Below are 26,694 nucleotides of genomic sequence, written 5' to 3'. Positions count from 1 at the left end.
CACCTGTCTCAGCCTCCCAGAGTGCTAGGATTACAGGTGTGAGCCACCACGCCCAGCCAACCCCTGCTTTTATTACCAAATGCCATGATTATCCTTCTAGACACCTAAAAAAGAAACTCAGCTGACACCCTGGACCCCTTTCTCCCTCAGCCCCGACAACCTCCAGGTTCCTATTGATCCCGCCTCTGGGGTCACTAACCTATTTCCTCCTCTCATGCCCACTACCACACCGACACCAGCGTCATCTCTTGCCCGAATGTTGTGGCAGCCTCCTCAATGGTCTCCCTGCCTCGAGCCTCCATCTTCTCACTCCATTCTCCCACAGCAGCCAGGGCAGCCTTCAGCATGCAGGTCTGTCAGGACATTCCCTGCCTGAGGCATTCGGCGACTCCTACCAGTTGCAAGGAATGACCCCAAGGCCCTGTAAACACAGGCCCCTGACCATCTCTTCCTCTCTCCCACCCCTGTGTCTCTTACCACAGCAACACTGACCCACCTATCATTTCCCAGACTCACCGTCCCGCTCCTGCCCCAGGGCCCCTGCATCAGGCCGTCCTTCCTCCTGGACTTCACCACCTCCATCCCGGTCCACACAGCTACCTTGACCGTCCTTCAGAACTCTGATCCCCTGTCACTTCCTCGAAGGCTTCCCTGACTTCCTACAGGCCAAAACAGCTGTTTCTCCTCTCTGCCTCTTCTATTCCTCATGCACATTTCTTTTCGGTTTTTTTGCACATTTTACACTAGTGATTTGTTCATACACCAATCTTCCCCTTGAGCTGAGGGCAGAAGCTGCATCTTTCTTGTTTTGTATCCCCAGTACCAAAGCCCTTGCCCACACACAGTAGATGATCAATAAATGTTGACCAGAACCGCTCTGCTGGGTGAGTGGGGGTGGGGGTTCTGTGCCATCAGCTCAGTTATGAACTGGAGGGGAGCCAGGAGGAGCTGAGCTTTGAGCATCGTTTTAAAGAGGGAAGCATCTATGGAAAAGCACAAGACAGAGCAGTGTGGTGTCTGGGGACAGTGCAGGAAAGCCAGCCCATGTCTAGTGTGGTGGAGACAGAGCTGGTGTACATTGAGGGCGAGGGGCTGCGGGTCCCTACCCAGCTGCCCACACCTGGCTCTCCCTGGCCCAGGTGCCCTTCTGGAACGGCTGCAATGAGGATGAGCACTGTGTCCCTGACCTTGTGTTGGATGCCCGGAGTGACCTGCCCACGGCCATGTGAGTTGGCTCCTTCCACCCCCACCCTCGCCCCTTCCCCTTCACTGCCAGAGGCTCTGGGGCTCCTGGGGCCCTGGATTATTTCCTGGACATCCTCCTCACAGGCAGCATGGATCAAACATTGCACTTGGAGCCTGCGTTCTAGCCCAGGCTCTGCCACCAACTCCTGCATAACCTCAGGAAAGTCTCTTCTGTAATATGAAACTACTAGTCTAATCTAATTTCAAATTTTGTTAAAAAAAAAAAAAAAAAGAAACCCTTTCTTCGGAGCCCACATTACAAAATAGATGAAAGGTAGAGACAGGAGTCTCTGGAGTTCTGGGTGCTTGTCCTTCAGCCCCCAGATGAGGTGACCTCTAGGCCCGCTGGCTGAACACCTTGGGCTTTCCAATCCTTCTGATGGAAAGATGCCAGGGACACCAGCCGAGGGTGAGCAGGGGACCTACAATCCCCTGGAAGAGACAAACGAACATACAAGGGAAAATAATGAACAATATCATATTCTTAATTTATGTAACATATTTTCCAATAATTTATGCTCAACTTTGATCCAACTATGAGATGATTTAGATAGAAAACATATATACCATGACATAGATAATAAAGAGAAATAGCACATTCAAAACTTGTAGAAGGATAATGGAGCACATATTCTAACCAGCTAGGCTAAAATAAGGATTATCTCTACATTAGTGCTGAGCTTCCTAGCAGCCAAGGCCAAAAGGGAAACATGATGTGCGGAGTGGTGATGCGTGAGTGGTGAGGTCAAATAAGAGCTCTGGGTTCAGCGGAGGGTATGATCTCTATGGTGGGGACACCAAGGGCCTTTGAAATAGGAAGTGGTCTTGAAGGGTGAGCTCTTTCCAGCCCTGCCATCCATTTCCACTCTCCTCCCAGTGGCTATTCCCATGAGCAGAGGCCAGTCAAGTGCCCAGACCCACCTTTTTGCCCCAACCCTGGGGCTCCTCTCTACCCCTGCTTTCCTCATTCCATCTGCCCAGTCTCTGGTGGTCTCTTGTTCTCAGGGAGTACTGCCAGAGGGTGCTGAGGAAGCCTGCGCAGGACTGCTCCGCATACACGCTGTCCTTCGACACCACAGTCTTCATCATAGAGAGCACACGCCAGCGAGTGGCGGTGGAGGCCACACTGGAGAACAGGGGCGAGAACGCCTACAGCACGGTCCTAAATATCTCGCAGTCAGCAAACCTGCAGTTTGCCAGCTTGATCCAGAAGGTAAGACCTCAGCGACCTGCCCAGACTGCCTCTGCCTGGCACAGAGGAAAAGGAAGGCCAGGTGGGCTCCTGGCTACATGTTGGAATCACAAGAAAGCTGGATGCAGTGGCTCATGCCTGTAATCCTAGCACTTTGGGAGGCTGAGGTGGGAGGATCACTTGAGCCCAGGAGTTTGAGGCCAGCCTGGGCAACATAGTGAGACCCCATCTCTACAAAAATATATAAAGTAATTAAATAAAAAAAAAAATCACAGGAGAGCTTTAAAAAGCCTGCCCCCAGACTCCTCCTCTGGAGATCCTAACTGATTTGCTCTGGGGTTGGGCCTGGCATCGGGAGGCTTTTAAAGCTCCCTCAGTGACTTCAGTGTGCAGCCAGGGCTGAGAACCACCGGCACTAGGGGAGTCTGAGCCCTTTGGGAACACAGGGAGGAATACCCTTCAGCCCGACTCCTGGGCCCTGGTTAGGGGCACACACACCACGCATGTGCCACCAGCCATCCACACGTTCTACCAACAGTGCACCCTGCAGGCTTGCTCGGAAGGTCCTTCTGACAAGAATCAGAACCGGTTCTTCCCCAGGTTAAAACTTCTGATCACTCCCAGCTGCTGTCAGAACAAACTCCAGGCTCCTCATTGTGGCATTCAAGGCCCATCTCACCCACCTCCTGCCACTTCTCCTCTAACTGTGCCACGGGCCACCTTGTTCCCAGCACGCCCTGCTGGTTCCCACCATGGCCCCCACCTGGGACTCCTCTCTCCTCTGCCCAACAGGCTCCTGCTCCCACTTGGTGACCATCCACATATTGCCTACTCACGGCGTCCAGCGCTGTGCTAGCACTTGGCATGCATTTAACCCTTGCAGCAACCTCAGACATAGCAGTAGTGGTGGTAGTGGTGGTGGTGGTGTCCCCATTTTACAGAGGAGGAAACTGAGGCATAGGGAGGGGTTAAGGCCTGCCCAGGACCACACAGCTGGTGAGCCGCAGAGCGGAATTCCCACCCCACAGCTGGCGCCTGAGCCTGCGCTATGTGACAAAGCATAGTCCTCAGCCCTGCTCTCTGGGGTATCTTTCCCAAAGCTCTCCAAGGCCACAGGCGGCCCTCCAGCCCGCATAGCATCTGGTACAGCCCTTCATGTGCTCTGAAGAAACATCAGTCTCCAAGTGCTGGCCTCTTGAAACCCTTGACTCCCAGGTGGCAAGAGCCCTGTCTTAGCCATGTCTGTGTCCAGAGCTGGGCACATAGAAGGCCCTCAAGACAAGTTTGTTGAGTAAACTCAGACATCAATGTCATGTGTGGGTGTTGCGGGGGTCCTAGGGCCCTCAGACACAGCCTCTGTCCTCGAGGATCTCAGTGTCAATGTGGAACCCAGTGTGCCAGGCAAGACAGGTGCCAGGCCAGTCTGTCCTCTCCACCCCAGAACCACTGCCCAGCACCCCTCCCCAAGTGCCCCCCCCTTGCTTGCCACACACACAGGAGCAGTTCCTATAGCCAGGAGGGGAAGCTGAGTGGAGGGAGGCCACCCCAGGAAAGCGAGGAGCTGCCTACTCGGGTACCCCCTTCCTCCTCAGTGGGCTCCCCCATCCTCAAACAGACCTCAAGGCCTATCTGCAGCCACAGTTCCTTCTGTCAGGCCCAGGCCTGGGCCCCAATCCCACTCCCTCTCCACTGCCCAGAGTGACAGCCCAGGCTGATGATGAAGAGCCCACCTGATGGTCTCTCGAAGTCCCCTCCTGTCCAGGGACTTGTGTCTGTCTGGATTTCAGGTATACGGAGGGAATCAAGCCCCACACCAGCATCCGCCTTCCCCTGCTTCCCTGGCCCAGACTTCACAAGGCCAGTCTCATGCTTGCTCCTAATCCTGGGGAGGGAATCATGGAGATAGTTTCTGTGGCTCAGAAGAGCTTTTGGAAATGAGTGGAGGTAAAGAGAAGTGGGAGACATGTTCTGTGAAGTGCTGTGTCCCCACACATAGCAGGTGGGGTGCAGAGTTAGCCTGGAGCCTACCTCCTTCACAGGTGCCACCACCCATCCCCAACCCAGGAAACGCTCATGGCTGTGAGGTCAGCATTCCTCTCCTCTCTCTCCCCAACATCCAGCCAAGGGGAACTCTAGTAGAGAAAGCACCCCTCTCAGCCAAATGCAGATGTGTTAGTCTGATCACACACTTTTTGCACACACATGCAAAAACACAGCAGCCTACATATTTGTCCTGGGAAATGCACATGCTCTGTGTACATGCAGCAGGTACATGCACACACATGCACTGACACGCAGACACACACAGAGTCTCCACAGACACATGCTCACATCCACACGGGTGCATGCATGCCCAGAGACATACACAGCCATGTGCCCAGGTAATGCCCAACAGTGCAGAGAACACAGCAGGGACAAATAATCATCATAACTGTAGCTGCCACATACGAGTGATGACAATAGGCAGGGCATGGGATAGGCGCTGCATTTATGTGCATCGCGTCATGTAATCCTCATAACAACTAGATGAGGTAGTTACTGTCATCCCCATTTAACAGGTGAGCAAAATGAGACGCATACATGAGCCCCCGCCATCCTCCCCACCGCCTCTGAGTGTGTCCCGCCCCGTGTCATGCCAAGTACCAGGAACCAAGACACACCCTGGCCTCTGGGGCCTCTGGGGTCTCAGACATCAGAAGGGCTGTGGTCCAGGCTTTCATATGGGTATCAGGGGCTGAGGCGGCCCCTGCAGAGTGGGGTGCAGGCTGGGGGTGAGGGAGCCTCGAGACCTGGTCCCAGGCCCCACCTAACTGCTGCCATGATGTCTGCCACCCACCTCCAGGAGGACTCAGACGGTAGCATTGAGTGTGTGAACGAGGAGAGGAGGCTCCAGAAGCAAGTCTGCAACGTCAGCTATCCCTTCTTCCGGGCCAAGGCCAAGGTTGAGACTGGGGACAATGTGGGGGAGGGTCAGGGTGGGCACTGGGAGGCACAGGTAGTTTGGGGAGGGCGGCAAGAGCAACAAGAGTGAACACAGAAGACCAGGGAGGGATGGGAGGCCTGAGGTGGCTTTTATTTGTCTTTTCTCCCACAAAATTACATTCAAGTGACCAAATGAGCCAGCCATCCCCATGCTAGCAGCCCATCCTTTAACTCAGAGAGAATTCCTACCACTCCCAGCCACTAGTCTGCCACCTGCCCTTAGCCAGTCCCACTGTTCTGCAGCCTCACAAGTTTTTCAAATTTCTGGCCTCTGCCACTGTGCTGTGTATGAGGAGGGATGGGGAGAGAAACTACCATTTCGTGAGTACCTACCACCCAACTGTGCTTAAAAGCTCATGTGAATAGAGGGTGGGTATGTGAAGGGAGAAGCAAAGTAGCTGGGAAAGGGAGGGAGACGCCAGATTGCAGGGAGTGTTTGGACATCAGCCCTGGGCAGCAGGCAGCCATAGAAGGTTCTGGAGTAGGAGACCTAATTGAGGCCAAGCTGCGTGGACTTGGGAATCAGAGAGGAGCTGTGGCAGGAGCCAGTAGGCGGCAGCAGTGCTCCCAGGAGCAGGGTCTGCACAGCTGGGGAAAGAGAAAGAAATGGGAGTGGGGATGAGGGCTCCTTAGCAAAGCACCTCCCTGGTGAGATATAAGTCAAAGGTGTGGTTTCTGGGTTGAGGCACCGACAAACCCAGGAGCTCTGGAGTGGGGATGGAGCAGGACATAGCCCAGGCTTCCCCACCCACGCCCAGCCACTCCTGCAGAGAAGGGGCCGCTGAGGTCTCCTGGGAAACCTCGTGAGGGTGAGACCAGGGAGCGCATCAGGGGTCTGTGCAAAGCCTCAGTAATGCCCCCAGGTGGGGCAGGGAGGAGGCGAGGAGGGTCGCATGTTTCCCCACCGCGGGGCGAAGGGCAAGGGGAGTATCAGGGCCCAGGTCAGCAGTGTGGCAGAAGCGCTGCCAGACAAGGGGCGGATGCCTTGTTGGCCTGCTGGGTGGCCACTGGCCCTCATCCCTCTCTGGGCCATCTCCTCCCTGCCACACACAAAGAAGAGGTGGACAAGGCAGTCCTACCAAACGTTTCTGGCCCCCACATCCTGTGGTGCATGGCGATGGCCATCGGCCCTTCCTGCCATCAAGGACCCCTACCCTAAAAACCCTGCAGACAGAGTCTGGAGCTGGACTTGCTGCTTTCTGGTTGCCTTTTGCTAAAAACAAAAGAAGAGGAAGAGGGAGGGGGGCTGGCTCAGCCCCGAGAAACCCCATTGTGGGAGCTGTTGTCTTTGGCTGTGTCCCCACAGCAGCCCTGAAGCTCAGCTCATGTTCTGTAGCACCTGGTCCTCCCTTTCCCAGCCTGTTCCCAGCCAGCAGCTCCCCAACCCCCAGCAAGCTCCCTCTCCCCAAGCCAGCAGGGGGCTGTGGGGAGTGGGCTGTGGGGAGTGGGCGGGGCTGGTCCCAGCAATGCCCAGACATGCGACTGCTTCCTTGCAGGTGGCTTTCCGTCTTGATTTTGAGTTCAGCAAATCCATCTTCCTACACCACCTGGAGATCGAGCTCGCTGCAGGCAGGTCAGGGCCGTGCCTGCTCCTTCTCCCCAAAGCTTGCTATTCCGGGGCCCAGCTCTCTGGCTGCTAGCAACTGCTCCTCCCGACACTGAGTCCGCTGCCCCACGCCCTGTCCCCCACTGCCCCAACCTTGAGTGGAGGCAGTGGGGTGGGGAGGTGGGCCGGCATCCGTTGCAGGTGTGGGCCAACCTGCTGCCCCCTGTGTTGCCACCACTCTTCATTCTTTGGATGATAAATAATAATGTCAGCCCTTTACTTTTAGACAGCCCTGTATACAGCAGTAATTCACAAACCCTATGGTTATAAAGCATTGTACAGGCAAAAATCTCAGTCCTCACAGAGGCCCCTTAAGATCATCAAAGCAGGGGTTATTCCACACACCATCTTCCAAGTTAAGAAAAGAGAGGCTCAGAGAGGGTGAGTGAATTTCCCAGGGACACACAGCAGTAAATTGTGCAGCTGGAAGCTGAACACTACTCGTCCTATTCCCCATCCAGGGCTCTTCCTGTCCTAGTCACCTCTCTCCCCTTTTTCTATTTTTAAGAGGCCTTTTCTTACTCTATGTGGGTCTTCCTGTCTATCTGTCTGTCTGTCTCCCAGGCCTCTCAGAGGTAGCTTGCTATGTGTTGACCCCATGAATCACTTTGTGTCAGTAGTAAATACACTTCTCTTTTTTGCAGAATTACCTCTGTGTGGGGAAGGACAGAGGGATTGTGTCCACTCTGGAGCCTTATAAATGGCAAAAATCCTTAGCTAAGAAATAAATACCCCAGGCAAACCGAACACTAACATTCCAGCACACACACGTGCAGGTCAGAGGTCACATAAGCGCTGGGGACTCATACCCGACACGTGCTCGCGTCCCAGCTACAGTTAAATGAATTGTGCATCCTGGTAGAATTCTCACACACCACGTGGCAAACTTGGCAAGGCCTCCCTTGCTCTCTGCCCTGCTCTAAGAAAGCCCAGTCCCGTCTTCACAGGAGAAATGAGCGCGCTTGCAGAGCAGTGTCTCTGGCACAGCTGTGGGGGGTGTCTGAGAATTAGGTGTGTGTAGGAGGGGGCTCTGGAGGCACATCTGTGTGTGTTGGGTCTCCCTTTTCTAACCAAACCCCTATCCTGGGGTAAGGCTTCCAAAGGGAATCAAACTCAGTCTATATAACAAGCAAGAACTGTACATTTTTATGTCTAAAATGATTTGCCCCGGTAGTTCATGGTGCTCAGATATAAAGGGAGGCACACTGGACAGAACCCCCCCGGAAGATGTCTCTGAATTTCACTCCCAGCCTTCTTGTGGCAGCAGAGTGCCCCTGGCCGCCCTGTAGGAGCTGCCCCCGGTCAGTCCAGGGATAAATGAATGACTCTACTGTGAATTCCTCACCATCCCTCCTCCGTGGGCACAGCCTTTGCCACAGGTGTCATCTCCCACAGCCCCTGAGTCCAGCAGGCAGCAGGATTGGCCCGCCTGACAGACGGGGCATCTGGGTGAGGGAGGCAAACAGGCTGGGGTCCAGTCCGTGCCAGGCCAGGCACAGGCCTCCCAGGTCCAGCCCAGAGCCCTCCCCTGACTCCACCTAAAGGGGCAGCAGGTAGAGCTAGTGTCATCCATCCCTGCTTCTGGCCCTTCCTCTCCTAGGAGATGCCTCAGGTTCCCTGTCTGGCCTGTCTGGTGCCCATCAGCCCCAGATAAGCCAGTGTGCTCCTTCCACAGTCTGCCTCAGACCCTTCCCGCTGCCTGTGCTGGCTGAGCCCCTTCCTGACCTTGCCGCCTGGCTCTCCTTGCAGTGACAGTAATGAGCGGGACAGCACCAAGGAAGACAACGTGGCCCCCTTACGCTTCCACCTCAAATACGAGGCTGACGTCCTCTTCACCAGGTGGGCCGGGCTCCGGGGGCCCCAGGAGAGGGAAGGCATGGGGAATGGGAGGAGGGAGGCCTAAGGGGGGGCATCCTCTGATGGGCCCTAATAGGGCCAGACCCCAGCACTAAGGGACTATGGATGGAGCCAAGAGTGTCCCTGGTGGGTCAGAGAGTGCAGCACCCCCATCCAATGTGGGGAGGGGATATCAAATTAGAGGAAGGAGGAGACACAGGCCCGGCCCTGGGGAGCTCCCAGCAGGGGCAAGAAGGGAGGGTGGGGGCAGTGGGAGGCGTCCACCCCTGGCATAGGCAACAAGTGGATGCATGGTCTGTAGAGAATTTAAAAACAGAAATAATATCTATCGTAAGTCAATCTGCTTTTTGTTATCATATTATGCCAGCACATCTAAACAATGTCAGTGGGAAAAGACTCTTCCCCAAAGGACAGACTGCTCCCACCCCCACCCCCTTGGCATGCTACTGGCCCCCAATCTGATGGAGGAAACAGCCCCTGTCCTCTGAGAGCTCATGGGCAGATGGAGAAGTCAGGGCAGAACAGCAGATGCGGAGAGGAAGCTCAGGCCCTCCCACGCCAGCCATCCCTAGAGGGTGGAAGGGAGCACAGTGGCATGGTCACTCCGAAAAGTAGCTACACTCCTAGGCAGAGACGCTGGGGCAGGGATGAGATAACTGGCTCTTCTGACTCACGCCCACCCACTCAGGAGGCAGACATTGCTCACCCATGGCAGCGCTGATTCCTGCAAAGGCTCAGAATCCTTCCAACATGACACTCACTCCCAGCCGACACAAGCGGGAACCTGTTTTTCGTGGCCCGGGGGAGGCCGGCACATGCCCTCTCCCTCTTTCATTCATCTGTCCATCCAGCCAGCCCTGACTGAGCTCACGACAGCCCTGTCCTCTGTCTCCGCAGGAGCAGCAGCCTGAGCCACTACGAGGTCAAGCCCAACAGCTCGCTGGAGAGATACGATGGTATCGGGCCTCCCTTCAGCTGCATCTTCAGGGTGAGGCTGGAGGGGAGCCGGGTAGAGGGGGAAGGACGGGATCTGAGCACCCCCATCCTGGAGGGGAGGAATGTGGAATCATCGCTAGTGCCCGGAGTCCAGCCTCAACCCTGCCACCCACCCACTGTGCGACTTTAGTCAAGTCACTTCTCCTCTCTGGGCCTCTCAGTCTTCTTTTGAAAAACAACTGGACTGCAGTGGGGGATGTATGGGTGAAGATAGGGTGTGGTTGCCTAAAATTCTTAAATTTTTTTTAAACAGTGGTTTAAACACACTAGGGTTTACTCTCTCCCATAAAAGAAGCCCAGAGTTGGCAGCTTCACAAAGTCATTCAGGAGTGGGTCTTCTATTCCACCATCCTCAGCGTGAACTTACCAGCCTCCAGTTCACCTCACAGTACAAGATGGCTGCAGCTCCAGCCATCACCTTCTCATTCCAGGCAGCAGGAAGGAGGAAGGGGAGAAGAGCATGCTCCCTCCTTATTAAGGGACCTCCCTGGCAGTTCCTTACTCTTCCAGTGACCTCTCTTTATCCAGAATGTTGTGACTGAGCCATAAGGGAGGCTGGGAAATGTGGCCTTTTGTCTCGGTTCTGCCACTAAGGAAAGTGGGAGAATGAGAGTTAGGAGGCAATTTGGCAGCCTCTGCTATAGTGGGCCCCGATAGCTCCCTCAGCCCTGAACAGCTGTAAGTTCATCAGCTTCTCTTAGGCTGTGTGAAAGCTGAGGGCAAGCTGACAGCTGGATACTGGACTTCAGACATGCTGAGCCCTGCATGGCTTGTTCAAGAGAGGCCTAGTAAGCTGCCCAGGGTCACACAGCTCATAGGTGGTGGTGGGCCCAGGATTAGATTCCTGGTCTTTCTGGTTCCAAAGCCCTGCTTGGAATCACTGCTGTCCTGGCACTGAATGTGGCACTGCTAGAATGTGAACAATCATGCACTCCTTATTTAGTAATAAATAGCGAGTTTAATTAATTAAATTAATTGTTAATTAATGATTCCCTCTCATGATGTATTCATTGCTGTCACCATCTTCACCCCTGGCCTCAACAAAATCCCCACCCCAGGCAAGAAGAGTTGAAAATGCAGGTGGCCCCTGCTCTCCGGCCTCAGGATCCCCACTGACTTGTCTTCAGCTTCCAGCCACCCATCCCCTCTCAGGGCTTTCTTGCACTTGTCCATGCAGTCCCCGGCCACAATTTGACAGAGCTTAGGAGCTTCCATGGTGAAAACACCAGGGGTCTTGAGTGGGCCTTTTTCCCAGGCCTGATGGGGGAATTGCCACCCCCAGGGGCTGGTTGGCCCCTGTGGACCTTGTTTTCCACCCCCCTCAACTGACTGTACTGACACCTCCCTGTCTCTGGCCACAGATCCAGAACTTGGGCTTGTTCCCCATCCACGGGATGATGATGAAGATCACCATTCCCATCGCCACCAGGAGCGGCAACCGCCTACTGAAGCTGAGGGACTTCCTCACGGACGAGGTGGTGATGGCCTTGGGAGCCGGCTAGGGGAGGGGACCAGAAGGAGACAGACACTCCCCCTACGTGTGTCCCCAGGTTCCCAGACCCCAGCTCCCTTCTCCCAGGACCACGGCTAGAGGAGGAGAAAAGAAACCTCTCTGGGATCCTGCGTCTGCCAGAGCTGGTTGTGAGGCTGTGTATGTGTGTGTGTGTCCATGTCCTTTATGTAGGCGAACACGTCCTGTAACATCTGGGGCAATAGCACTGAGTACCGGCCCACCCCAGTGGAGGAAGACTTGCGTCGTGCTCCACAGCTGGTGAGTGTCCCCCAGACCGAGAGCCACAGTGGTTGGGGTTAGAGGCGTGCCGCCGGTGCTCTGCGGGCCATTTCCCTCCCGACCCAATAGCTTGCCAATAAGAGCTTACTGAGCACCTGTATGTACCCAGCCCCAAACCAAGAAAAAAACTGAAGGAGGAAAAGACTTCTTGGCCTGTGTGAGTCCCCCGTCTCACAGGGAGTGGGACAAACACACAGAGTGAGTGTCTGAGAAGCCAAGGTCACAGCCTGTGGTGTGCCAGGCAAACGAGCAGAAAGGGGTGGGGAGAGTGGACTTGCACCTGGGCCAAGCGGGCCAGTAGGATACAGAGAGGCAGAGGGAAGGGGAAGAAAACAGACGCAGCCAGAACACCAGAACACACACGTGGCTTGTATTGGAGACATTTGGCTGCGTCAGCTGGGGCCTCCTGCCCTAGAGATGGAATGCAGACCAGCTTCAATTTCCAGAGCCCTCCCAAAACACCTGCTCATTTCCAGTTTGCATTCTCAGGGTTGCCTCTGCCTCCAGATACCAGTTTCTCACCCTGCTTCCACTGTTCTTCCCCCAGACAACAATCTTCCCTGTTTTAGTTTTACTTCCCCCAGACAAGTACCTCCCACAAAGCACTTACTGAGGGTAGTGGGCTTTGCCAAAGATTTAGGCTGGGTTGGGGTTGGGGTGGGCAGCACGGCAGCAACACTAGTAACTTTCACCTAATAAATTCTAATTGTTTGAAGATTTGTTTGGGTTTCCCATTAACGTTAGTTTCTCCACTTAATCCTTATATTATAAATGATCTTGAGGTATTACTCTAACTAAGACCTCCAGGGCAATGGTAAATAGATATGATGATGACAGAATAATCAGGATTACCTTAATCATGATTACTTAAAGGAATTTATTTTTATTTTGATTGTTAAATATGATCATTGCCCTAGGCTTCACACATGAGGGGATTTCAAAATCATTAGGCGTCCACCTTCCAGTCCTGATTTGGCTCCTTCTAACTTCTTTTGGTTTGCTAATCTTAAAAAAAATCTTTAAAGGGCAACCATTATTCCTCAGCTAATAATGTAAACAAAACTGCATTAGGCCGTGCACGGTGGCTCATGCCTGTAATCCCAGCACTTTGGGAGGCCGAGGCAGGTGGATCGTGAAGTCAGGAGCTTGAGGTCAGGAGCTCGAGACCAGCCTGGCCAGCATAGTGAAACCTCATCTCTACTAAACATACAAAAATCAGCCGGGTGTGGTGGTGGGCGTCTGTAGTCCCAGCGACTCGGGCTGGGCAAGAGAATCTCTTGAACCTGGGAGGCAGACGTTGCAATGAGCCAAGTTGGCGCCACTGTACTCCAGCCTGGGCAACAGAGCAAGACTCTGTCTCAAAAAAAAAAAAAAAAAAAAAAGGACTGTATTGACATGGTTACATTCCCAGGACTCTTAGTCATTTAAGAATGGACTACATGGTTGGTATCATTGCTTACAAAAGTGTCTTGAACTTGATGGGCTTATGTTGAGAAGTAAAATTTAATTTTTAATTTTTACCTTTTAATTCCATTTTTCCACAAACTTTTTGAAGTCCCTTTGAGAGGAGCGAGCAGGAGCATTGTCATGGTGGAGAAGGAGTCTCTGGTGACATTTTCCCAGCCATTTTTCTGCTAAAGCTTTGATTAACTTTCTCACAACACTGTCATAATAACCAGATGTTCTCATTCTTTGGCCCTCCAGAAAGTCAACAAGCAAAATGTTCTGAGCATTCCGAAAAACTGTTACCATAACCTTTGCTCTTGACTGATCTGTGTTTGCTTTGACTGGACCACATCCACCTCTTGGTAGCCATTGCTTTTTTTGTGCTTTGTCTTCAGGATGGTACTGGCAAAGCCATCTTTTATCCGTTATAATTATTTGAAGAAATGCTTCAGGATCTTGATGTCACTTGTTTAAAATTTCCATTGAAAGTTCTGCTCTTTTCTGCAGCTGATCTGGGTGCAACAGATTGGGCACCCGTCAAGCGGAAATTTTGCTCAACTTTAATTTTTCAATCAGAATGATGTAAACTAAGCCAACTGAGCTGTCTATAGTGTTGGCTAATGGTTCTGCTGTTAATTGTCAGGCTTCTTCAGTGAGGGCCTGAACAAGATTTTTTTTTTCCTCACAAATTGATATGAATGATCTGCTGCTGCAAGCTCCATCTTCAGTGTCCTCTAATCCCTTTTCTTTTCTTTTCTTTTCTTTCTTTTCTTTTCTTTTCTTTTGAGACAGAGTCTGGCTCGGTCACCCAGCTGGAGTGCAGTGGCACGATCTCGGCTCACTGCGACCTCCGCCTCCCGGGTTCAAGTGATTCTCCTGCCTCAGCCTCCCAAGTAGTTGGGACTACAGGCGCGTGCCACCACGGCTGGCTAATTTTTTGTATTTTTTTAATAGAGACGGGGTTTCACTGTGTTAGCCAGGATGGTCTCGATCTCCTGACCTTGTGATCCGCCTGCCTTGGCCTCCCAAAGTGCTGAGATTACAGGCGTGAGCCACCATGCCCAGCCCTCTAGTCCTTCTTAAAACAAGTTATCCATTTGCAAACTGCTGATTTCTTTGTGATATCATCCCCATCAACTTTTTATAAAGCATCAGTGATTTCACTGTTCTTTCACTCAAGTTTCACCATAAATTTGATGTTTGTTTTTGCTTCAATTTTAGCAGAATTCATGTTGCTCAGATAGGGGCTCTTTTCAAACTGATGTCTTATCTTTCTTAGTGCCTCAAACTAGATCCTGTTCACATAGGTTACAACAAGTTAATACGAGTTTATTTTGGGGCAAAAAAAGTTTTGGAATCCATGCATAATTTTTCCATAATACACATTTTCCATGAACTTTATGAAGACCCCTTTTATCTGATTCAGGAAGTTCCCTGGGAGTTTTTATCATGAACAGAAGTTGGACTTCCTAAAATACTTTTTCTGCATCTGTTGCAGCGATCATAGAATTTTTTATCTTAATGTGTTTATATGGTGATAGGAAACATTTATAGATTCCCTAATGTTGAACAAAAGTTCTGTCCCTGGAATATATCCAGGCCGGTCACAATGTACAGCTTCAAGTGGAGCATCAGATATACCATCCTTCATTTGTCCTTCAGTCATCCCCTGGCAGACGCAATGCACATGTCCCCCACTCCCAACTTTCTCTTTGTCCCCTGTCCTCTGCCCCTGCCCCCAGGAGCAGAGCCCCAGTCGTTCAAGCAGTGTTGCTGCCCCCTGCTCCCCTAGCCCAGCAGCTCAGCCCTGAGACCCATCTTCTCTTTCAGAATCACAGCAACTCTGATGTCGTCTCCATCAACTGCAATATACGGCTGGTCCCCAACCAGGAAATCAATTTCCATCTACTGGGGAACCTGTGGTTGAGGTCCCTAAAAGCAGTAAGTAGAGCCCCTGGGCTGGGCTGGAAGGAAGAAGGGAAAGGGGGCGGCTGTTGGGATGTCTTCCACCTGGGGCTGCCTGGGGAGGGGACGGGAAGAAAAGCTTCCAAGCCAGCTTCTGACGAGCCCTCTGATTGCACAGCTCAAGTACAAATCCATGAAAATCATGGTCAACGCAGCCTTGCAGAGGCAGTTCCACAGCCCCTTCATCTTCCGTGAGGAGGATCCCAGCCGCCAGGTGAGCCCCTGGGAGCCCTGCAGAACTGGGCTTAGGCCGGACAGCTTGGGAAAGGGTTGGCCGTGCTCCTCTATAGAGTTTTCCTACAACCCCTGGCTGCATGTCCCAGCAGGAGAGAATCAGGCAGACCTGTGGGCTGTTAGGGCAGCCGCTGAAAAGAGGGAAAAAAGCAAGACAAAGCCTCAGGGGCAACACTAGGGAAGGTCCAGAGGTCTGGTGTGAACTGAATTTGTGAAGACCAAAGGATGGGAGATGCCTCGGTATCAGCCTCTGTTAGTTGCGTAAAAGCAGATTGTTACAGATTACACTGGCTTCATCCAGGGTCCAGGAAAGGAGTGAGACTCTGTGAGACCCAACGAGAAGTGAGGTCTTAAAGAAAAGCCCATTCCTGGAAGAAGTGGCAAAGGAAGAAAAAAGAAAAGAAATAAATTTGTAAAAGAAAGCAAGCAAGCAAAGCCCAGTCCTGTGGAAATAGACAGGGCAGCCGGGCGTGGGACGCTGCTGCCCTCCACTGGCCACACCCCAGAAATGCCAGCTTGGGCTCCAGGCAAACATTCCTATTACAGAGGCGGAGTAAGCTCCCAACACCACCCCAGGGAGATGCTGGAGAGCAAAGAGGCGGGGTCAGGAAGCATCCCTTATAAAACAATCCAACAAAAACCAATCACAGCCAGGGCAGGGGGATGCCAGGCAGAGGGGTATCAGGATCCACCTAAGGAGCTTTTTTGTTTGTTCATTCATTTGGCATTTGTTGGGTGTGTCTCCTACGGCTTGGGCCCCAAAGGGGAAACAGAGATAAATTAGGCAGACAGGGAAACAGTGACAATAAATGGGTGAGTGCAGTCTGGGGGTGAGCACAGGCCCGGAGGGGAGCGATTCCGAGCGAGGGACATCCCCGGAAAGCTTTCTGGAGACTGTTTGAACCGAATCTTGAAAGATGCTGCAATGTTCCCAGCATCCAAGAGAGGGAGGTGTGGTACAGGCACCCCCGCTCCCCCACACATACCCTGCTCACACACACAGAGAGAGAGAGAGAGAACCCTTCTTCTCACATTGATGCTTGTCTTTTAGGTGACTTTTCCTTCTTCCACCCCCACTCAACCCCCCAAAAAATTCCTCTATACTCTCTGGATGCCTCACTCCCTTTTTTTTTTTTTTGAGACGGAGTCTTGCTCTGTCACCCAGGCTAGAGTGCGTTGGCAGGATCTCGGCTCACTGCCAGCTCCACCTCCCAGGTTCATGCCATTCTCCTGCCTCAGCCTCCCGGGTAGCAGGTATTACAGGCGCCCGCCACTACGCCTGGCTAATTTTTTTTTTTTTTTTTTAGTAGAGACAGGGTTTCACTGTGTTAGCCAGGATGGTCTCGATCTCCTGACCTCATGATCTGCCCGCCTCGGCTTCCCAAAGTGCTGGGATTACAGGCATGAGCCACCGTGCCCGGCCATGCCTCATTTCTCTTTTAGAAATCCAGCAACCCCAAAATTAAGCCCCTGTATGCTGGGCTGTGTGCTAGGTGCTGGCGCTGGGGAGGCAGAGCCAGGTGCCCGCCTTGAGGGACAGAAAGAGCACACATAAGGGCCCTGCCATTTGCTGGCCCCCAGCTGTGTGCTGAACATGGTGACAGACCTCTCAACACTGTGAGGCACTGTCCCCACCCCCATCTCTCAGGTATGCACACCGAGGCATGTGAGATGAGGCAGGAGGGACAGTGACTTGCCTCAAGTTGAACAGTGAGTCAGTGGCCAAAGGAGGGCTCTGTCTGCTGTTGCAGGTGGTCCATTCACTCCACATGGCTCTGTCTGCTGTTGCAGGTGGTCCATTCACTCCACGTGTTAGCTGAGCTCCTGCTACATTCCCGGCACGGCTCCAGGTTCTGAGGATAGAGCAGGGACAAAACAGACAAAGCCCCCACTCTCCTACAGCTGACATTCCAGGCAGGCAATAAACATAAATATAAACGTTATCAACTGGTGATAAGGGCTACCCAGAAAAAGGCACACATCTAAGGGTGGAGTGCCAGGGGGTGCTGTTTTATACAGGGGAGTTGGGAAAAGCCTCTCCAATAAAGTGACATCAGACAGAGACCATGAGGAAGACAGGAGTGTCTCGTGGCTGCGTGAGGGAAACCCTTGCAGGCAGAGGGAATAGCAATGCCTACAGCAGGCACGCCATGGCATGCATGCTGGAGGCCAGGTGGCTGAAAGCTGGAGTAAAGCAAGAGGGAGCAGGAGGTGAGGTCAGCAAGACAGGTGGGACCCGAGAGGGGAGGGCCTTGCAGGCCAGGGCCAGGACTGCACTTTTTACTTTGAGCTTGAGCAGAGCAGAGCAGAGCATAAGCCTGCCTTCCTCGTTAGAAGGATCCCTCTAGTTGCTATGCTAAGAACAAACTGCAGAGGGGAGGCAGTCGGGCAGCGCTGTAGTCTCCAGAGGAGATGTGAGGGCACTCAGGCCCAGGAGGTGGGAGTGGTGGCCACATTCCAGGTGTTTCCAAGGTAGAATGGACAGACTTTGCTGCTGGGCTCCGTGTGGGTGTGAGAGTTAGGGTCAGTGATGGATACATGGCTTCTGGCCTGAGCAGCGCGGAGGGATAGTGCTGCCATTTGCTTAGGTGAGAAAGAGCTGGAAAGAGCAGGCTTCGGGGGCTGGGGTGTTAAGAGCTTGGTTAGGGGCCTGTTACAGTTGCCAGGCAGGCCAGGAGACAGTCGGTGTGAGCCTGGAATTCAGCGGAGAATCCAGGCGGACGACAGAAATGTGAGAGCAGTCGGCGTGTAGACGGTGATAGCCACAGGACTGAGGGAGCTGGCCTGGGCTTACTTTCTGACCTTCACGCCCTGGCCACTTTTGCCTTTGGGACACCTTCCTCCATAGGAAAAAAGTATTTAAAATTATGGTTTATAACCATGTTGATACAAAGATTAAAAAATGTTATCCAAGCTGGATTCTATTCCATTTTTTCCTCTAATTTTAAAAGAAATGTAAACATTTTCATGGGCTCCTAAAAGTGTTATGGGCCTTGGCACCATGACTACTGTGACTCGTGGGAAAGTCAGCCCTGAGTTCACCCAGGAAGTGACTCTAGAAAAAGAAGAGGTGCAAGGACTGAACCGTGGGAGACACTGACCTTTAGAAGTGCGGGAGGCGATGCGGAGGCAGCAAAGGGAGAAGGAGTAGCCCATGTGGTGGGAGGAGGATCCAGGGAGTGGCGGGGGCCTGAGGCCAAAGGCAGCAAGTGTCTCAAGGAGGCAGGATCACTTGGGCCACTGAACCCAGTGTCGGCTGTTCAGGCAGTGGTCGTCCTGAGGCCTTGGCTGGCCTGTCCACCCATCCCTCTGGTATCCCCCTGAGGAAGAGGATGCAGCTCCCCCACCAGGTGCCAGCTGTCTCCACCCTCCTGCCCCTCCCAGACTGCCACCCCAGCCCCAGAAGAGTAATGCTGTTGGCCCGGCCCCCCTCCCCTTGCAGATCGTGTTTGAGATCTCCAAGCAAGAGGACTGGCAGGTCCCCATCTGGATCATTGTAGGCAGCACCCTGGGGGGCCTCCTACTGCTGGCCCTGCTGGTCCTGGCACTGTGGAAGGTGAGGGCCCTGGCAGGGGAGGGAAGGAGCAGCATCCTGGCTGGTGGGCCCAGGCTCCAGCCCCTGGAACTTCGTGGCCGCTGCCACGTTCTCCTCTCCAGGGGAGCTGGCACCCCACCCCTCGCCATAGCAGACACACTGGTTAGGGCCAACAGACGGCACTCAGACTATGGCTCTAACCTGTTTGTGGATGCCTTTGAGAACCTGATGAAAACTAAGGTTCCTATTATTAGAGAAAAAAAAAAAAAGCAAGTACAAACAACTGCACAAAATTTCTCCCACAATGTCAAGCTGTTAACAAACCTCCCGAAGTCCATCTCTGTCTCTGAAGCTCTGGTTACAAACCCCTGGTCTCAGCCTCCTCCTGTTACAGATGAAGGAGGCCCAGAGAGGGATGTTGGCTGGGGCTGGTCACACAGCAAGATGGGCACTAGTATGACTTCTTGCATGCAGCCCATGGTCTCATCCACTGTGTTCCAGTCCACAGAGGCAGTTCTGGAGGAGGGGGTGCTCAGAATGAGCTGGGGGTACTCAAGGAAGCCCTGAGGGAGGAATCCCAAGGAAAGGTAGTGGAGGGAAAGCTGGGGCAGGCCTTGCCCACCCTGTCCTCCTCTGAGACGTCTCCCTTTGCCTCCTCACAGCTCGGCTTCTTTAGAAGTGCCAGGCGCAGGAGGGAGCCTGGTCTGGACCCCACCCCCAAAGTGCTGGAGTGAGGCTCCAGAGGAGACTTTGAGTTGATGGGGGCCAGGACACCAGTCCAGGTAGTGTTGAGACCCAGGCCTGTGGCCCCACCGAGCTGGAGCGGAGAGGAAGCCAGCTGGCTTTGCACTTGACCTCATCTCCCGAGCAATGGCGCCTGCTCCCTCCAGAATGGAACTCAAGCTGGTTTTAAGTGGAACTGCCCTACTGGGAGACTGGGACACCTTTAACACAGACCCCTAGGGATTTAAAGGGACACCCCTACACACACCCAGGCCCATGCCAAGGCCTCCCTCAGGCTCTGTGGAGGGCATTTGCTGCCCCAGCTACTAAGGTGCTAGGAATTCGTAATCATCCCCATCCTCCAGAGAAACCCAGGGAGGAAGACTGTAAATACGAACCCAATCTGCACACTCCAGGCCTCTAGTTCCAGAAGGATCCAAGACAAAACAGATCTGAATTCTGCCCTTTTCTCTCACCCATCCCACCCCTCCATTGGCTCCCAAGTCACACCCACTCCCTTCCCCATAGATAGGCCCCTGGGGCTCCCGAAGAATGAACCCAAGAGCAAGGGCTTGATGGTGACAGCTGCAAGCCAGGGATGAAGAAAGACTCTGAGATGTGGAGACTGATGGCCAGGCAAGTGGGACCAGGATACTGGACGCTGTCCTGAGATGAGAGGTAGCCGGGCTCTGCACCCACGTGCATTCACATTGACCGCAACTCACACATTCCCCCACCAGCTGCAGCCCCTTGCTCTCAGCTGCCAACCCTCCCGGGTCACTTTTGTTCCCAGGTACCTCATGGGAAGCATGTGGATGACACAATCCCTGGGGCTGTGCATTCCCACGTCTTCTTGCTGCAGCCTGCCCCTAGACATGGACGCACCGGCCTGGCTGCAGCTGGGCAGCAGGGGTAGGGGTAGGGAGCCTCCCCTCCCTGTATCACCCCCTCCCTACACACACACACACACACACACACACACACACACACACACACACACACACACACACACACTGCCTCCCATCCTTCCCTCATGCCCGCCAGTGCACAGGGAAGGGCTTGGCCAGCGCTGTTGAGGGGTCCCCTCTGGAATGCACTGAATAAAGCACGTGCAAGGACTCCCGGAGCCTGTGCAGCCTTGGTGGCAAATATCTCATCTGCCGGCCCCCAGGACAAGTGGTATGACCAGTGATAATGCCCCAAGGACAAGGGGCGTGCCTGGCGCCCAGTGGAGTAATTTATGCCTTAGTCTTGTTTTGAGGTAGAAATGCAAGGGGGACACATGAAAGGCATCAGTCCCCCTGTGCATAGTACGACCTTTACTGTCGTATTTTTGAAAAATTAAAAATACAGTGTTTAAAAACAACCAAGCACTGACATCCCATTCTGTGGGCAGAGCATATCACAGTGAGCCATACTCCCCTTTGAAGGAGAGGAAGTAGAATGAGGGAGTTCCTTGCTTCCTCCCCCCTACCTCTACATGTCAGAAGGGACTCATCCACCATTTGCTGCCCACAACATGCCCTCCTAGTGGCTGCCTGGCCTCCGTGTGACGTCTCCAGTGGTGGAGCGCTCCCTCTCCCAAGATCACCCTTCCATCTATGGCCAGTGTGGACGGTTAGGACCTAAATGTTTCACTGTAGCTTCTGCCCTTGGTTCCAGCTCTTCCCTCTCACGCCTCCCAGACTTCTCCAGGCCGGTTTCATTGTTAACCGTCTTACACTCTGACATCAGCCAAGGCGTCTCCATTCTGTTCTTGTGCCATTCATGTCTTGGATTCCCAGTAAGTAGAACCTTGGAAATAATTTGATCTTGTTTTTGCATAAATGAGGACACTCAGAACCAGGAAGAGCCCTAGGCTCCCACAGCAAAACCAAAACTAAACCCAGGACTGCTATTTCCCAAGCCAGATTCTGTTATTCGAGCCCAGCCTTAGAAGGGCTTGATGTGGAGCAAAAGGTGAAAATGGTGAAACTAAAATTTGAGTATCAAAACCCATTGCCTTCTAATAGAATCAGAAGGAAATGTTGCTAAATCATATTCCATTTCCGTCATCACTCTTATGAATGGGGTAACCTGGCTAAATGAGAATTAATGAACCCACACTCATAAGTTTTCATTGACTTAGCACCAAGTCGTCCATCAAATATCATCAGATCTGAGAATGCTCTTATGGATATCTGATTTTTAGAGGCTGGCATTCATATTTTTAAAAACTGCCACCTGTGACCACACTGCAGGCCAAACAGAATGTACCTGCTGGTCAGATGCAGCCCAGAGGTCACTGAATTGCAACCTCTGGACTCTCGGTCAGAGGCAAGCAGCCCTTATTCCAGAACTCCACAGTCCTTCACACCCTTCCCCAGACCTACACCAAGACCAACTAAGTGGTCAAAAGGTGGACAAACTGAGAGTTGTATCAAGGCCCTTAGCCTCTCAATTTGTTATCAAGTTTCCCTTTCTGAATCTATTTACCCTGAAGTATAAATACCCAAGATGAGCCTTAAGAGTGCCTGGTAGAGCAAACAAAGATGCATCTTATAGGGAGCAAAGTCTATGCTAACGCAGTGTTTCTCAATCCTGGCTGCACCTTTGAACCACGGGAGCTTTAAAAGTGACCACTGCAAGGGCCCTACCCACTATGGATCCCAATTTCATTGGTTGGGAGAGGGGCCAAGTTTGTTTCCAACTTCCCCAGATGACTCTAATGGCTGAGAGTTGCAATCAACAGGTAAGTGAATATCCAGGCTGTAAGATGAAGAAAGAGGGGGTTGTGCCCAAGCCCACTGTGCCTCATAAAGCAGATGATCTCTGCAGCGCTGCGCTTCTCAAAGAGTGGTCCCAGGACTGCCTCAGTCAGACCACAGACTCCTAAGTTCCTCCTCAGACTTCATGGATCCAAGCTCTGTGAGGTAATTCTAAGCACATTAAACTTGTAGAACAGCCATCTGGATTTAATATTACATAATAGCTATAATATTCTGCTATTCTCTAATCTTCAATGTCAGTTTCTTAAACTGTCAGGCCTGTCTTTAGATGCCCTTCAACTGTGCTGGGGACTATCTTGATGGCAGCCAGCAAAGAAAATCAGCAAAAACCCCAGTGGAGTTTCTGGGTTTTACTTTTGTTAAGGAAGGTGATGGTTTCTTGACATGACAGGTATCTAGGTGGAAAGGGCAAAGTGCTAATGCAAACACAATGGAGACACTATGGAATAGCTCTGCCTAGGGACATGTGGAAGAGCTTCTAGGAGACAGTGTGGACCTTTCCATCCCTAGAGGTCTTCACAAGATAAATTCCTACCTCCGTCAGTATTCAAAAGGTTTTAGCATCAATACTGTCTGAGAATAAGACATTAGACTTGAGTCAGTCCCCTGGCTTCAATCCCAGGATGCCAAGCAGCCTCTAATGGAGACCGCTGGCTTAATCGTGCTCCTTTCCTGGCATAACAACTCACTGCACCCATGCCTCACCACCACGAAGCAGTCTCCTCACCACCCAAATGTGCCTTGGGTGACTTAAATACAGCCATTAGTATGAATGGTCCCCTGTTTTTATTCAACACCACACCAGTCTTTGCTTTTACCTTCGGCTAATGTGGTTCCAGCCTTTTATCCTGCACTCCTTCTTATAATTTAAAAAAAAAAAAAACTCCCCTACTATCTTTATGTTAATATTAACATCAACTAGGTTCTTCTCAAAGGACAGCCAGGCCTAACTGGCCACGTTAAAATCTGCACAGTGCTTTTGTGTCACTGTCTATTCTATTAGTTTCAACATCATGCTAAAATAGGACAGCATGTTCCAAAACTGAAACTGAAACAGGAACGGAGCCTTGCTGATTTAGCATGAGGAGGGAATTGTAAGCCTTGCACCTGGACACTAAAACTTTTCAATAAGATGTATGCTAAGCCGTACCTAGCAAACTTACCAGGTCCAAAGTAGAGTACAAGCAGAAAGTTATTTTTAAAGGATGGGCACTATCCTTGAGGGACTTACCCTTTCTAATCAGCTTTGCATGGTTTGTTTTGAGACAGTGTCTCACTCTGTTGCCCAGGCTAGAGTGCAGCGGCACCATCACAGCTCACGGCAGCCTCTGCCTCCCGGGCTCAAGCAATCCCACCTCAGTTTCCCAAGTAGCTGGGACTACAGGCACACACCACACTCAGCTAATTTTAGTATTTTTTGTAGAGACAGGGTCTCGCCATGTTGCCCAGGCTGGTCTCAAACTCCTGGATTATCTCCCTGGCCCTGCATTAAAAAAGATGTGCAACAACTTAGTGATGTGTCTGAAATGTTTTCAGAAGGTGGCCCAAGTCAGAGTCAAAAAATTTTTTTATTTGGAAAATTAGAGGAAATACAGAAAATCAAATTTCAAATAGATGCATCTAAATGGAGAACAAGCTTATCAAGGACAGAGTCCATCTTTCTTATTTTTATTTTTGAGACAGGGTCTTGCTCTGTCACCCAGGCTAGAGTGCAGCGGCACAATCACAGCTCCCTGCAGCCTCGACCTCCTGGACTTCAGTGATCCTCCCACCTCAGCCTCTTGAGTAGCTGGGACTACAGACATGCACCACCATGCCCAGCTAATTTTTTTTTTAATTTTGTGCAGAGAGGGGGTCTCACTTTGTTGCCCACACTGGTCTCTCTTATTTTTGTATGCATATCTGTGGTGCAGTGCCTGAAATACAGTAGGTGTTCAATAAGCGCCAACATGCAAGAGTATCTTGCCATTGATTAAGGCAAAAGCAAAACCCCAGTCCGCCCCTCTGATGGACTGAGCACACCAAATTTCTAAAGCACAGGCAAATTAGAAAATATAATTTTGTCTAAACTTGCCAACAAGCTAAGGTTTTGTGAACCACCTAAAATTTGCCTCTCTCATACTGAAATTTTCTAGGTCAAGTATCTGAAGGAATACACTACTGCCAGTATTTTCTTTGGTGATCTGTCATATACAGCAGACATTACTTGAAACAAAGAAAAAAATGTTTTAAAACCTGTCTGGATGATTTCCGCAGTCTCACTAGGTTATTGCAGCCAGGGAGTGACCTAGCAGAGATCTGAAGGTGAGCTTCCCTAGTACTGGCATCTCACAGTGAAAGAGCACTGTTCAGTGGGTCAAGAGACCCAGAGCCTACTCTCAGTTACGACACACATAGTCCTTGTGTGGCCTTTCTGGGCTTGTGTCCTGAACTATAAAATGAGAGGGTGGCACTAAATGTTTTTTTCAGATCTCTATAGAGGCTGGAATGGCCACAGAGAATCTAAATTTGAAAACAAACATGTCCTGAGGGTGTGCTCCAATACCACCCTTTAATACTCTCCTGAGATGTGAAGGCTGGAAATGAGAATGCCATATTATTGTTACTTGCAAACGATTAGTGTATCTGGGACATCCAAAAGAAGTAACTGAAAATTTATTTCTTTAAAAACAAAAAAAACCATTACAGTGCTTTTGTAAAAACATTAATATTTAGAAGTACGTAGTGGTAATAAAAGGAAAATAGTTGTAAGACCTTCATTAAAAAGAAAAACCTAAAAAAAAAAACAAAACAAAACTCTGGATACAGGTGTATGATTTACCTAACCAGACATAGCTTTCTTTTGGATAAAAAAAAAAAAAAAAAAAAAGCTCAGAAGTGCAGAACTGTACAGATGTCCCTAAATCTATTAATTCAATGCTAAACGAAATAATCTCTTAACATGATAAAATTACACCAAACTTCATCTGGAAAAATAAACACGTAATAATGAAAAAAGTTAGCCACTCCCACCTCCCCACTTAAAAAAGACAAATGAAGAAATACTAGTCCAAGGCCAGGTGTGGTGGCTCACATCTGTAATCCCAACACTTTGAGAGGCTGAGGTGGGAGGACTGCTTGAACCCAGGAGTTCAAGACCAGCCTAGGCATCATGGCAAAACCCCATCTCTACAAAAAATACCAAAATAAAAAGAATTAGCTGGGCATGGTGGCACATACCTGTAGTCCCAGCTACTTGGGAGGCTGAGGTGAGAGGATCACTTGAGCCCGGAAGATCAAGGCGACAGTAAGCCATGATGGCACCACTGCACTCCAGCCTGGGTGACAGAATGAAACCCTGTCTCAAAAAACAAACAAACAAAAACCAAACAAATTATAGGAAAATCAACATTTTAAACCAAAGAAGAGAAGGAGAAAGAAGGGAAGGGAAGCCATAAAAGTGTCTTTTTCAAATAGATCATGGGGGAAAAAAAAAAAAAGTATGACTTGGAATAGAGACAGCCTTACAAGCAGGATCTAAAACTCAGAATCCATTTTTTTAAATTGTGATAAATTTGACTATAGAAAAATGTAAACTTTGGATACAAAAGTACCATATTTAAAGTAAATAAGCTACAACTATTACATGACAGAGAAAATGTCCTCAAACTTCTAAGGAACTTCTAACAAGTAGAAAAAAAACACACACAACCCCAAAGCAAACACCAATAGTCAATAAATATATGAAAGTGTTCAATGTTACTCATAATAAAGGCATACAAATCAAACCATGAAATGCTATTTTTCATTAATCACAACTTTGCAAAAATTAAATGATTAGATCTGATGTCAATAAAGATGTAGAGAGATGGAAGGCAATTTGATAACTTCTGTCAAGATTTTAAGTAGTCACTAAACCAAGTTCCAGTACTAGGAATGAATTTGTCCTTTAAGTATGGTACTTAAGGATGTTGACTGCAGCATTATTTGAAATATCAAAAACTGAAAATCTAAAAGTCCATCAATAAAATCTAGTTAAATACATTTTCAATCCATCAACAGAATTAATTGCTATGAAGTTGTTTTAAAAACCTATACATATAGAAATGGAAAATGCCTAAGATATATTACATGAAAAAGATAAGATACAGAATAGCGTTGCAAAGGTAGAAGTTCATTTGCATTTTAAAAACTGAAAAGGAGAAATAATACATATGTGCACAGAAACATTCTGGGAAGCTACTCAAAAAACTATTAATAGTGATTGTCTCTGCAGAGTCCAAATAGGAGGCGGGGAGAGATGAAAAGGGAACTTTTAAAATATATATTTGAATTTTTCTTTACTACGTGAATTTTTTCCCATGCACATATATA

The 26,694-nt window shown here is 50.7% G+C and overlaps 1 protein-coding gene across 3 annotated transcripts in view, besides 3 other annotated features; it reads left to right on the top strand.

Moving 5' to 3' along the window:
- The window catches only part of ITGA11 (integrin subunit alpha 11), a 135,632-nt gene extending 109,521 nt beyond the window's left edge, over window positions 1-26,111 (top strand). For all 3 annotated transcript variants that reach the window (XM_011521363.3, NM_001004439.2, XM_005254228.4), the window contains 12 exons: window positions 1,140-1,225; window positions 2,251-2,458; window positions 5,280-5,378; window positions 6,916-6,992; window positions 8,775-8,864; window positions 9,780-9,870; window positions 11,240-11,353; window positions 11,563-11,649; window positions 14,947-15,057; window positions 15,200-15,295; window positions 18,758-18,871; window positions 19,513-26,111. In XM_011521363.3, coding sequence (XP_011519665.1) covers window positions 1,140-1,225; window positions 2,251-2,458; window positions 5,280-5,378; window positions 6,916-6,992; window positions 8,775-8,864; window positions 9,780-9,870; window positions 11,240-11,353; window positions 11,563-11,649; window positions 14,947-15,057; window positions 15,200-15,295; window positions 18,758-18,871; window positions 19,513-19,584 — 1,245 coding nt within the window. In that variant the 3' untranslated portion in view covers window positions 19,585-26,111. The remainder of the gene's footprint in view (window positions 1-1,139; window positions 1,226-2,250; window positions 2,459-5,279; window positions 5,379-6,915; window positions 6,993-8,774; window positions 8,865-9,779; window positions 9,871-11,239; window positions 11,354-11,562; window positions 11,650-14,946; window positions 15,058-15,199; window positions 15,296-18,757; window positions 18,872-19,512) is intronic.
- Window positions 4,766-5,266: an enhancer, noted in NCBI's record as "H3K4me1 hESC enhancer chr15:68609715-68610215 (GRCh37/hg19 assembly coordinates)". NCBI's record gives its function as "activates a minimal SCP1, AML or CMV promoter by ChIP-STARR-seq in naive H9 embryonic stem cells {active_cell/tissue: H9 hESC(naive)}" and the evidence as "EXISTENCE:reporter gene assay evidence [ECO:0000049][PMID:30033119]".
- Window positions 6,713-7,579: an enhancer, noted in NCBI's record as "H3K4me1 hESC enhancer chr15:68607402-68608268 (GRCh37/hg19 assembly coordinates)". NCBI's record gives its function as "activates a minimal SCP1, AML or CMV promoter by ChIP-STARR-seq in primed H9 embryonic stem cells {active_cell/tissue: H9 hESC(primed)}" and the evidence as "EXISTENCE:reporter gene assay evidence [ECO:0000049][PMID:30033119]".
- Window positions 15,761-15,850: a silencer, noted in NCBI's record as "silent region_6587". NCBI's record gives its function as "represses an Ori minimal core promoter by ATAC-STARR-seq in GM12878 lymphoblastoid cells {active_cell/tissue: GM12878}" and the evidence as "EXISTENCE:reporter gene assay evidence [ECO:0000049][PMID:35858748]".

The sequence above is a fragment of the Homo sapiens genome, chromosome 15 (assembly GCF_000001405.40).
Source record: "Homo sapiens chromosome 15, GRCh38.p14 Primary Assembly".
NCBI lineage: Eukaryota > Metazoa > Chordata > Mammalia > Primates > Hominidae > Homo > Homo sapiens.
This window is presented reverse-complemented; position numbering and strand designations above follow the sequence as displayed.